The following is a 13328-nucleotide window of genomic DNA, read 5'->3' as shown; positions in this document are numbered from 1 at the left end:
CATATAGTTGGAATAATACAGTAGTCTTTTCAGATTGGTTTCTTTTATTTAGCAACATGCACTTACATAGCCTCTATGTCCCTTCATGACTGAAGAGCTCAGTCTCATAATATTCCATTTTCTGGATATATCACAGTTTACTCATCCATACACCTGCTGAAGGACATTTTGGTTGCTTCCAAGGTTTGACAATTATTAATAAAGCTGTTTGCTATAAACATCCATATGCAGGTTTTTGTGTGGACATAAGTTTTCAACATCTTTGGATAAATACCAAAGAACACAATTGCCGGATCATACGGTAGGAGTATGTTGAGACGAGAAAGGGAAAGAAAAAGTACTTACAGAAATAATGGCCAAAAACTTCCCAATTGGATGAAAAACATTATTCTACAATTCCAAGGAGCTAAACAAAATTCCAAGTAGGATAAACTCTTAGAGATTTACATCTAGACATATTATAATCAAACTGTTGGAAAACAAAGAGAGGATCTTGAAAACAGCAACTGAATCTTGAAAGCAGTAAAGAGAAGTGACTTACCACATACGAGTGATCCTCAATAAGATTAACTGCTAATTTCTCATCAAAAACCATGGAGGCCAAAAGGCAGTGGGAATGACATGTTCAAAATGCTGGGAAAAGAAAAAGACTGATAACCAAGAATTCTATGCCAGCAAAACTATACTTCAAAAATGTAGGAGAAATTAAGACACTCTCAGATGAACAAAAAAAAAATAGGAGAATTTGTTGCTAGCAAATCTGCCCTTGTATTTACAAATACTAAAAAAGATGCTTCAGATTGAAATGAAAAAACATCAGACAGTAACTCTAATCCATACAAAAAAATAAAGAACACTGATTAAGTTAACTACAGAGGTGTATATAAAAGACAGTTTAACTGTATTTTTTTGTTTGTAACTCTTTTATTCTCCTGATAGATTTTTAAACAACCACATAAACCAGTATATATAAAATTATGTTGATGGGCTTATAATGTATAAAGATATAACTTGTATGACAATAATAGGAAAAAAGGAGGGTGAAGGAAACAAAACTATATAAAAGCAAAGTTTGTATTCTTTTGAAATTTAGTTGGAATTATTGAGAACTAGATGGATATAAGTTGTTACTTGCAATCCTTAGGGCAATCAGAAAGAATATAACTCATATATATAGATAACAAGAAAAATGACAAGTGAATTAATGTTATAAACTAGAAATATCTACCTAACACAAAAGAAAGCAGAACCAGAAGAAACAAGAAAAACAAGACATATAGAAAATAAACAGCAAATTGGCAGATGTGAATCCTACTTTATCAGTAATTACATTAAATGTAAATTTAAAAGGTCGATATTTCTTCCTTCAGTTCTGTTGGATTTTGCTCCATGTATGTTGGGACTCTGTTGTTGCTAATTAGTCAACAATAATAATTGAAGACTTTACCGGGTATGGTGGCTCTCACCTGTAATCCCAGCACTTTAGGAGGCTGAGGTGGGTGGATCACTTGAGGTCAGGAGTTCAAGACCAGCCTGGCCAACTTGGTGAAACCCCATGTCTACTAAAAAAATTAGCTGGGCACAGTGGCACGTGCCTGTAATCCCAGCTACTTGGGAGGCTGAGGCAGGAGAATCGCTTGAAACTGGGAAGTGGAGGTTGTGGTGAGCCAAGATAGTGCCACTGCACTCCAGCCTGGGCAACAGAGCGAGACTCTGTCTCGAAAAAAATAATAATAATAATTGAAGACTTCAATACCCCACTTTAAATAATGAGAAAAACAACAGAAGATCAACAAGGAAACAGAAGACTGGAATAACACTGTAAACCAACTAGATCTAACAGGTATCTATAGAAGACTCCACCCAGCAACAGCAGAGTACACATTCTTCTCAAGTGCACATGTAATGTTCCCCAGAATAGATTGTATGTTAGCTCACAAAACAATTGAATTTTAAATTCGAATAGATTTAAAAGTATTAAAATTATATAAAGTATGTTCTCCAACCACAATGAAATCAAATTAGGGCCAGAAGCAGTGGCTCACGTCTGAAATCCCAGCACTTTGGGAGGCCAAGGTGGGTGGATCACTTGAGGTCAGGATTTTGAGACCAGCCTGGCCAAAGGTGAAATCTCATCTCTATTAAAACACACACACACACACACACAAACTAGCTGGGTGTGGTGGCGTGCGCCTGTAATCCCAGCTACGCAGGAGGCTGAGGCACAAGAATTACTTGAACCTGGAGGCACAGATTGCAGTGAGCTGAAATCATGCCACTGCACTCCAGCCTGGGCGACAGAGTGAGACTCCATCTCAAAAAACAAAACAAAACAAAACAAAAAAATTAGAAATCTACAACAAAAAGTAGTTTGGGAAAGTCGCAAATATGTGAAAATTTTAAAAACTCATTCCTAAATAACCAATGCATCAAAGAATAAAAAACAAGGAAAATTAGACAATACTTTGAGATGAATTAAAATGAAAAAAATGCCAAAACTTCTGGGATACTGCTAAAGCACTACTTAAAGAGAAATTTATAGCAGCAAACACCTTTATTAAAAAGAATATCTCAAATCAATACCTTAATCTTTCACCTTAAAAAACTAGAAAAAGAAAAGCAAACCAAACCCAGAGCAAGCAGAAGACCACAACAAAACCTAGAGCAGAAATAAACTAGAGAATAGAAAAAAAAAAATAGAGGAAATCAATTAAAACAAAAGTTGGCTCTTTGAAAAGATGAACAAAATTGACAGACCTTCAGTAGACTGTCCAAGACTGTAGTAGACTGTCCAAGAAGAAAGAGAGGTAACTCACTTTATTAAATCAGGAATGAAAGAAAGGACATCAGCCAGGCACGGTGGCTCACGCCTGTAATCTCAGCACTTTGGGAGGGCGAGGTGGGTGGATTACCTGAGGTCAGGAGTTCAAGACCAGCCTGATCAACATGGTGAAACCCCATCTCTACTAAAATACAAAATTAACTGGGCGTGGTGGCGCATGCCGGTAATCCCAGCTACTTGGGAGGCTGAGGCAGGAAAATCGCTTGAACCCGGGAGGCAGAGGTTGCAGTGAGCCAACATCATGCCATTGCGCTCCAGCCTGGGCAACAAGAGTGAAACTCTGTCTCAAAAAAAAAAAAAAAAAAAAAGTGGGGGGGTGGGGGGTGGACATCACTACTAACCTTACAGAAATAAAAAGGATTATAAGTCAATATTATGAGTAATTATATGCCAACAAATGAGATAACTTAGATGAAACAAATTCTTAGAAAGACAAATATAACACAGTTGTCTACACAAGGGAGCTACATTTATTTACCTGTTAATAAATAGATATTTCCAAGGATTAGCTGAAAACTATGGAAGGAGATAGCTGCATTTTGAATATTGGCAGATGAGTCTGTCACATGTCTTCTTTAATTTTTTTATTTTGTTTGTAGAGCTCTACAGCTACAACTGATTATATAAGATGAATGAAGTACAGTTGAGTAATATTGGCTTTTCTTTGAAATAACCTCAGGAGAGTGGCTCATTGTATGAGTATAAAAGAATATGCTACGTCTTTCCAGGAGAGCAGTGCAATCCACAAACTTGAGGAAATGGAAGAATTTCTCACTGTGGTGGGCTATCATTATGTAACAGGCTCTGCCAAGACAAGCTATATTCACTGCACGACCTGGTGCTAGGAGTGTACTAATGTACTTATAAATTGCAGCCTGTACCTGCGGGTAATACCATAGCCCCTGTTTATGGGCTTTCCAAAACCATTTACAAATCTGTGTATTTATAGGATTTGTAGGACGTCATAGCCTGCTTTTTCCATAAGGATAAGAAAGGGTTAATACAAATGTTTTGGTAAATATATAACCCCATAATTTTTCATCATCTGGTAAATTTTTTTTCATATACTAGAGCTAAATTTTCAAATGGTAGTAAGGCAAATTTTTCTTTGATCCATTCTGCAATATTTGTGAGAGTCACATTTTAAACACAGAAAATATGAGGTACATAAAATTCCTGGGAATTAAGATCTTTGGTATTTGAAAAAGAAGATTGATTATTCACCAAATGTCAGGAAAGATCTTTGAAGACTTTGAGTGTAACGTGAAGGCACAGTCGTATTTTGGGTTCATTAACAAATAATATGTTCTTGCTAAACACAAAAGCAATGTCTTAGGAAATCTGCTTGCATTTACCTGGCCCTGCATTGTTCAATAAGCCACATGTGGCTGTTAAGCACCTGCAATGTTGCTAGTCCAAATGGAGATGTGCTGTAAGTGTGACACACACGGAATCCCAAAGACTTAGTACAAAAAACTTGTAGGGCTGGGCATGGTGGCTCACGCCTATAATCCCACCACTTTGGGAGGCCGAGGCAGGTGGATCACTTGAGACCAGGAGTTCAAGACCAGCCTGGGCAACATGGTGAAACCCTGTCTCTACTAAAAATACACAAATTAGTGGGGTATGGTGGTGCGTACCTGTAGTCCCAGCAATTCAGGATGCTAAGGCACAAGAATAGCTTGAACCCAGAGGTGAGGGTTGCAGTGAGCCGAGATGGCACCATTGTACTCCAGCCTGGACAACAGAGGGAGACTCTGTCTCAAAAAAAGAAAAAGAAAAAAAAACCTTGTAAGTGATCTCAAATTTTTTATATTCCTTACATGTTGAACTGTTTTTGCATAAATCTGGATGAATAAAATACATTATTAACATTAATTTCCTCTGTTCTTTTTTTTATGAAGTAGTTACTACTTTTATTCATTTTTTAATACTTTAAGTTCTAGGGTACATGTGCCATGTTGGTGTGCTGCACTCATTAACTCGTCATGTACATTAGGTATATCTCCTAATGCTATCCCTCCCCCGTCCCCCCACCCCACGACAGGCCCCAGTGTGTGACGTTCCCCACCCTGTGTCCATGTGTTCTCATTGTTCAATTCCCACCTATCAGTGAGACCATGTGGTGTTTGGTTTTCTGTCCTTGTGATAGTTTGCTCAGAATGATGGTTTCCAGCTTTATCCATGTCCCTACAAAGGACATGAACTCATCCTTTTTTATGGCTGCATAGTATTCCATGGTGTATATGTGCCTCATTTTCTTAATCCAGTCTATCATTGATGGACATTGGGGTTGGTTCCAAGTCTTTGCTATTGTGAATAGTGCCACAATAAACATACGTGTGCATGTGTCTTTATAGCAGCATGATTTACAATCCTTTGGGTATATACCCAGTAATGGGATGGCTGGGTCAAATGGTACTTCTAGTTCTAGATCCTTGCGGAATCACCACACTGTCTTCCACAATGGTTGAACTAGTTTACAGTCCCATCAACAGTGTAAAATTGTTCCTATTTCTCCACATCCTCTCCAGCACCTGTTGTTTCCTGACTTTTTTTAATGATCGCCATTCTAACTGGTGTGAGATTGTATCTCATTGTGGTTTTGATTTGCATTTCTCTGATGGCCAGTGATGATGAGCATTTTTTCATGTGTCTGTTTGCTGCATAAATGTCTTCTTTTGAGAAGTGTCTGTTCATATCCTTTGCCCACTTTCTGATGGGGTTGTTTGATTTTTTTCTTGCAAATTTGTTTAAGTTCTCTGTGGATTCTGGATATTAGCCCTTTGTCAGATGGGTAGATTGTAAAAATTTTCTCCCATTGTGTAGGTTGCCTGTTCACTCTGACGGTAGTTTCTTTTGCTGTGCAGAAGCTCTTTAGTTTAATTAGATCCCATTTTGGCTTTTGTTGCCATTGCTTTTGGTGTTTCAGTCATGAAGTCCTTGCCCATGCCTATGTCCTGAATGGTATTGCCTAGGTTTTCTTCTAGGGTTTTTATGGTTTTAGGTCTAGCATTTAAGTCTTTAATCCATCTTGAATTAATTTTTGTATAAGGTGTAAGGAAGGGATCCGGTTTCAGCTTTCTACACATGGCTAGCCAGTTTTCCCAGCACCATTTATTAAATAGGGAATCCTTTCCCCATTGCTTGTTTTTGTCAGGTTTGTCAAAGACCAGATGGTTGTAGATGTGTGGTGTTATTTCTGAGGGCTCTGTTCTGTTCCATTGGTCTATATCTCTGTTTTGGTATGAGTACTATGCTGTTTTGGTTACTGTAGCCTTGTAGTATAGTTTGAAGTCAGGTAGTGTGATGCCTCCAGCTTTGTTCTTTTGGCTTAGGATTGTCTTGGCAATGCGGGCTCTTTTTTGGTTCCATATGAACTTTAAAGTAGTTTTTTCCAGTTCTGTGAAGAAAGTCATTGGTAGCTTGATGGGGATGGCATTGAATCTATAAATTACCTTGGGCAGCATGGCCATTTTCACGAAATTGATTCTTCCTATCCATGAGCATGGAATGTTCTTCCATTTGTTTGTCTCCTCTCTTATTTCCTTGAGCAGTGGTTTGTAGTTCTCCTTGAAGAGGTCCTTCACATCCCTTGTAAGTTGGATTCCTAGGTATTTTATTCTCTTTGTAGCAATTGTGAATGGGAGTTCACTCATGATTTGGCTCTCTGTCTGTTATTGGTGTATAGGAATGCCTGTGATTTTTGCACATTGATTTTGTATCCTGAGACTTTGCTGAAGTTGCTTATCAGCTTAAGGAGATTTTGGGCTGAGACGATGGGCTTTTCTAAATATACAATCATGTCATCTGTAAACAGGGAAAATTTGACTTCCTCTTTTCTTAATTGAATGCCCTTCATTTCTTTCTCCTGCCTGATTGCCCTGCCCAGAACTTCCAACACTATGTTGAATATGAGCGGTGAGAGAGGGCATCCCTGTCTTGTGCTGCTTTTCAAAGGGAATGCTTCCAGTTTTTGCCCATTCAGTATGATATTGGCTGTGGGTTTGTCATAAATAGCTCTTATTATTTTAAGATACGTCCCATCAATACCTAGTTTATTGAGAGTTTTTAGCATGAAGTGTTGTTGAATTTTGTTGAAGGCCTTTTCTGCATCTATTGAGATAATCATGTGGTTTTTGTCTTTGGTTCTCTTTATATGCTGGATTACGTTTATTGATTTGTGTATGTTGAACCAGCCTTGCAGCCCAGGGATGAAGCCGACTTGATCATAGTGGATAAGCTTTTTGATGTGCTACTGGATTCGGTTTGCCAGTATTTTATTGAGGATTTTTGCATCGATGTTAATCAGGGATATTGGTCTAAAATTCTTTTTTTTGTTGTTGTGTCTCTTCCAGGCTTTGGTATCAGATGATGGTGGCCTCATAAAATGAGTTAGGGAGGAGTCCCTCTTTTTCTATTGATTGGAATAGTTTCAGAAGGAAAGGTACCAGCTCCTCTTTATACCTCTGGTAGGATTCGGCTGTGAATCCATCTGGTCCTGGACTTCTTTTGGTTGGTAGGCTATTAATTATTGCCTCAATTTCAGAGACTGTTATTGGTCTATTCAGGGATTCAACTTCTTCCTGGTTTAGTCTTGGGAGGGGGTATGTGTCCAGGAATTTATCTATTTCTTCTAGATTTTCTAGTTTATTTGCATAGAGGTGTTTATAGTATTCTCTGATGGTAGTTTGTATTTCTGTGGGATCGGTGGTGATAGCCTCTCTATCATTTTTTATTGCTCTATTTGATTCTTCTCTCTTTTTTCTTTATTAGTCTTGCTAGTGCTCTATCAATTTTGTTGATCTTTTCAAAAAACCAGCTCGTGGATTCATTGATTTTTTGAAGGACTTTTTGTGTCTCTATCTCCTTCAGTTCTGCTCTGATCTTAGTTATTTCTTGCCTTCTGCTAGCTTTTGAATGTGTTCGCTCTTGCTTCTCTAGTTCTTTTCATTGTGATGTTAGGATGTCAATTTTAGATCTTTCCTGCTTTCTCTTGTGCGCATTTAGTGCTATAAATTTCCCTCTATACACTGCTTTAAATGTGTCCCAGAGATTCTGGTATGTTGTGTCTTCGTTCTCATTGGTTTCAAAGAACATCTTTATTTCTGCCTTCATTTCATTATGTACCCAGTAGTCATTCAGGAGCAGGTTGTTCAGTTTCCATGTAGATGAGCGGTTTTGAGTGAGTTTCTTAATCCTGAGTTCTAGTTTGATTGCACTGTGGTCTGAGAGACAGTTTGTTATAATTTCTGTTCTTTTATATTTGCTGAGGAGTGTTTTACTTCCAACTATGTGGTCAATTTTGGAATAAGTGTGATGTGGTGCTGAGAAGAATGTATATTCTGCTGATTTGGGCTGGAGAGTTCTGTAGATGTCTCTTAGGTCCGCTTGGTGCAGAGCTGAGTTCAATTCCTGGGTATCCTTGTTAACTTTCTGTCTTGTTGATCTGTCTAAAGTTGAGAGTGGGGTGTTAAAGTCTCCCATTATTATTGTGTGGGAGTCTAAGTCTCTTTGTAGGTCTCTAAGGACTTGCTTTGTGAATCTGGGTGCTCCTGTATTGGGTGCATATATATTTCGGAGAGTTAGCTCTTCATGTTGAATTGATCCCTTTACCATTATGTAATGGCCTTCTTTGTCTCTTTTGATCTTTGTTGGTTTAAAGTCTGTTTTATCAGAGACTAGGATTGCAAACCCTGCTTTTTTTTGTTTTCTGTTTGCTTGGTAGATCTTCCTCCATCCCTTTATTTTGAGCCTATGTGTGTCTCTGCACATGAGATGGGTCTCCTGAATACAGCACACTGATAGGTCTTGACTCTTTATCCAATTTGCCAGTCTGTGTCTTTTAATTGGAGCATTTAGCTCATTTACATTTAAGGTTAATATTGTTATGTGTGAATTTGATCCTGTCATTATGATGTTAGCTGGTTATTTTGCTCGTTAGTTGATGCAGTTTCTTCCTAGCATCGATGGTCTTTACAATTTGGCATGTTTTTGCAGTGGCTGGTACTAGTTTTTCCTTTCCATGTTTAGTGCCTCCTTCAGGAGCTCTTGTAAGGCAGGCCTGGTGGTGACAAAAATCTCTCAGCATTTGCTTGTCTGGAAAGGATTTTATTCCTCCTTCACTTATGAAGCTTAGTTTGGCTGGATATGAAATTCTGGGTTGAAAATTCTTTTCTTTAAGAATGTTGAATACTGGCCCCCACTCTCTTCTGGCTTGTAGGGTTTCTGCTGAGTGATCCGCTGTTAGTCTAATGGGCTTCCCTTTGTGGGTAACCCGACCTTTCTCTCTGGCTGCCCTTAACATTTTTTCCTTCATTTCAACTTCAGTGAATCTGACAATTACATGTCTTAGAGTTGCTCTTCTCGAGGAGTATCTTTTTGGTATTCTCTGTATTTCCTGAATTTGAATGTTGGCCTGCCTTGGTAGTTTGGGGAAGTTCTCCTGGATAATATCCTGCAGAGTGTTTTCCAACTTGGTTCCATTCTCCCCATCACTTTCAGGTATACCAATCAGACGTAGATTTGATCTTTTCGCATAGTCCCATATTTCTTGGAGGCTTTGTTCATTTCTTTTTACTCTTTTTTCTCTAAACTTCTCTTCTCACTTCATTTCATTCATTTGATCTTCAGTCACTGATACTCTTTTTTCCACTTGGTTGAATCAGCTACTGAAGCTTGTGCATGCGTCACATAGTTCTCGTGCCATGGTTTTCAGCTCCATCAGGTCATTTAAGGTCTTCTCTATGCTGTTTATTCTAGTTAGCCATTCGTCTAATCTTTTCTCAAGGTTTTTAGCTTCTTTGCGATGGGTTTGAACATCCTCCTTTAGCTTGGAGAAGTTTGTTATTACTGATCGTCTGAAGCCTTCTCTCAACTCATCAAAGTCATTCTCCGTCCAGCTTTGTTCTGTTGCTGGCAAGGAGCTGCGTTCCTTTGGAGGAGAAGAGGCACTCTGATTTTTAGAATTTTCATCTTTTCTGCTCTGGTTTCTCATCATCTTTGTGGTTTTATCTACCTTTGGTCTTTGATGATGGTGACGTACAGATGGGGTTTTGGTGTGGATGTCCTTTCTGTTTGTTAGTTTTCCTTCTAACAGTCAGGACCCTCAGCTGCAGGTCTGTTGGAGTTTGCTGGAGGTGCACTCCAGACCCTGTTTCCCTGGGTATCACCAATGGAGGCTGCAGAACAGCAAATATTACAGAATGGCAAATGTTGCTGCCTGATCCTTCCTTTGGAAGCTTCTTTTCAGAGGGGCATCTGGCCGTATGAGGTGTCAGTTGGCCCCTACTGGGAGGTGCCTCCCAGTTAGGCTACTTGGGGGTCAGGGACCAACTTGAGGAGGCAGTCTGTCCATTCTCAGATCTCAAACTCCATGCTGGGAGAACCACTACTCTCTTCAAAGCTGTCAGACAGGGACATTTAAGTCTGCAGAAGTTTCTGCTGCCTTTTGTTCCTCCTCTGTTCTTTTTTTTAATGTGGCTACTCAAACATTCTAAATTATATATGTGGCTTATCTTGTAGGTCTCTTGGACTGCAAAAACCTAGTCTATCACAGACTACTTGACACATCCACTGGAAGATGCTGGAATTGGCACCACGGACTTGCAGGAATGCCCAGGAATGGCTGCAGACGTTTTCTTCCTGAAAAATTCATCATAGAGAACTGGTGGACAATGGAATCTGGTTTTCTTCACTTTTTTAATGCTGCTAGTGTTCAGAAAACTAAAGATGTAAACAAATAAACAAAAAACAGGCTACTGTGTAAAGGGCTGCCCAGGCCTGGGTCTGATTATAGTTTGATTTAACCCCTGGAAAGGATGTTTGATAATGTTCCAGTTTATGGCCTAATGAGCAACATTATCAAATTACCCCCTTAGGTGCTTTCATACCGTATTTACAGGCTCTTCCATTAGTACTCATTTCAAACAGAGATTAAAAAGTTGAGAGGACTGCAGGCACTCCTGACCCATATTAGAGCCTGGCCATACTCATCTAGGCCACTGGAGACCTAGATGAGCCTGGGGAGACTCCTGCTTCTCAGGAGGCACCCCTAGATTTTCTGGTTTGAATATAAGCCGGTAGAAGTCCACTTTGGGGCCTCTCTGCCAATCCATCTGGGAGGTCACATGCCTGGTGCCTTTCACACACTCTCCAAAATAGCTTAGAAAAGATCCATTCTTTGTACCTCCAAGTGTCCCTTACCCTATAACCCTCCCTGAGTATACACCTACTACCCCAAACAGAACAAAAATTTTGTAGACCTTTCCAGGTTTTCCTTAGGATTGTAATTTTCTTTTTGGACAGAGTCTCACTCTGTCCCCCAGGCTAGAGTGCACAGTGGCATGATCTGGGCTCACCACAACTTCCACCTCCCAGGTCAGGCAATTCTCCTACCTCAGCCTCCTGAGTAGCTGGGATTACAGGTGTGTGCCATCACGCCGAGGTAATTTTTATATATTTAATAGATATGGGGTTTCACCATGTTGGCCAGGCTGGTCTCAAACTCCTGACCTCAAATGATCCGCCCGCCTTGGCCTCCCAAAGTGCTGGGATTACAGGCATGAGCCATCATGCCTGGCTAGGATTGTAATATTTATTTTATCAGCAATAAAATCATGTAAGTGCATTAGAGAAAATGTCTGAAATACAGAAAATAATTTGTGTTTTAATTTTTTTAGAGACAGGGTCTTGCTTTGTCACCCAGACTGGAGTATAGCAGCATGACCATAGCTCGCTGCAGCCTTCACCTACTGGGCTCAAGCAATCGTCCTGCCTCACCTCCTAAATAACTGGGGCTACAGGCACACAGCACAACATCTAGCTAATTTTTTAAAATATTTTTGGGTCAGGCATGGTGGCTCACGCCTGTAATTCCAGCACTTTGGGAGGCTGAGGCAGGTGGATCACGAGGTCAAGAGATCAAGACCATCCTGGAAACACGGTGAAACCCCGTCTCTACTAAAAATACAAAAATTAGCTGGGTTTGGTGGTAGGCACCTGTAGTCCCAGCTACTTGGGAGGCTGAGGCAGGAGAATCGCTTGAACCCTGGAGGCAGAGGTTGCAGTGGGCCAAGATCCACCACTGCACTCCGGCTTGGCGACAGAGCGAGACTCTGTCTCAAAAAAAAAAAAATTATTTTTGTAGAGATGGGGTTTCCTTGTGTTGCCCAGGCTGGTTTCAAACTCCTGACCTCACATGATTCTCCTCTTTCAGCCTCCTAAAGTGTTGGAATTCCAGGTGTAAGCCACCATGTCTGGCCAATTTTTTAAATTTATAATAAAATAAAACTAAATTCAGAAAAATTTTCACTCAGAGCAGTATCAACATCCAAAATGACCACTATTAGCAATTACGTAAGACCGAGTCTTTTTTCATACACAGGTGAGTTCTATGAAGGTGAAATGTGTGATTTAATATTTCAATAAGTTATCATTCATGCAACCCTATGCTTATCTGGGTAGACAAATCTAAAAGCCACAGTCCCTGTCATCATGAAGGCCCCCTGTCCAGGAAAATGGGTTTTAAGTCTCCTTAGAAACTTTTTTCTTCCCAATTTCAACAAAATGCCAGTATGTATACAGTCTACATATAAATCAGATAAGTGATGTTTTATTAGTAGAGCCTAATTTCCAATTAGTGATATTTATTTTGAAATACTAATTTGTTTGTTCTCCCCTCTATTCCCATATCATCCCACAGCCAGTTCGAGCAGGTGCCAGGTTTGATGTTCCTCTGACCCAGGAAGGTGTGCAGAGTGGACAGCAAAAGCGGTTCTAAGGCTCTTCCACCCTCTGAAGAGGGCACAGACAGTATTATAGAAAGGAGACTCCTCTAAGGGGCCTGTGAGCTCATTAGCAGTGGGAACAAATGGGCCCACCGGACCTCTGGAATCAGAATCTCTGGGGGTGAGGTTGAACAACCTTTTTTTAACAAGTTCTTCAGGCCATGAGTATGCACATTAAAGTGTGAAAACCATCAGGTTAGAGGAAGGATTCCAGAGGTGGAGGGGTGCACTCACCTTTGGGGAGAAGAAACAAGAGAGGGAGTAAGCCCCCTGTACATGTGAGGCTCCAGGGTTGCACCCGAGGGGGTGTTACAATTTCGGGTGAGGTGGCACTCAGGATCCCAGCCCAGCAAAGCCTTTTCCTGCCCCATGCCACCCACAACAGGCCGTGAAACAGTGCATAGACAGTGGGAGTGGCAATGTGTTAACTGGGGCTGCTAACCAGAAGCCCCTGCCGAAACCCCCAGCCCTGGCCTCTGGACCCCATGGGGGCTACCACCATTTGAGGGGCCCCTATACTGACTGAGACACCCATCATAGGATGTATCCCACAGATCAATTTATTTTTATTAAAAACAAGGTGGGCATGATGGCTTGTAGTCCCAGCTACTTGGGAGGCTGGGACAGGAGGATTACTTGAGCCCAGGAATTTGAGGCTGTAGTGCACTATGATTGCACCTGTGAATAGCCATTGCAGT

Source organism: Homo sapiens, chromosome 2 (genome assembly GCF_000001405.40).
Source record: "Homo sapiens chromosome 2, GRCh38.p14 Primary Assembly".
In the NCBI taxonomy this organism is placed as follows: domain Eukaryota; kingdom Metazoa; phylum Chordata; class Mammalia; order Primates; family Hominidae; genus Homo; species Homo sapiens.
The sequence above is the reverse complement of the archived record's forward strand: the minus strand, read 5'-3'. Positions refer to the sequence as shown.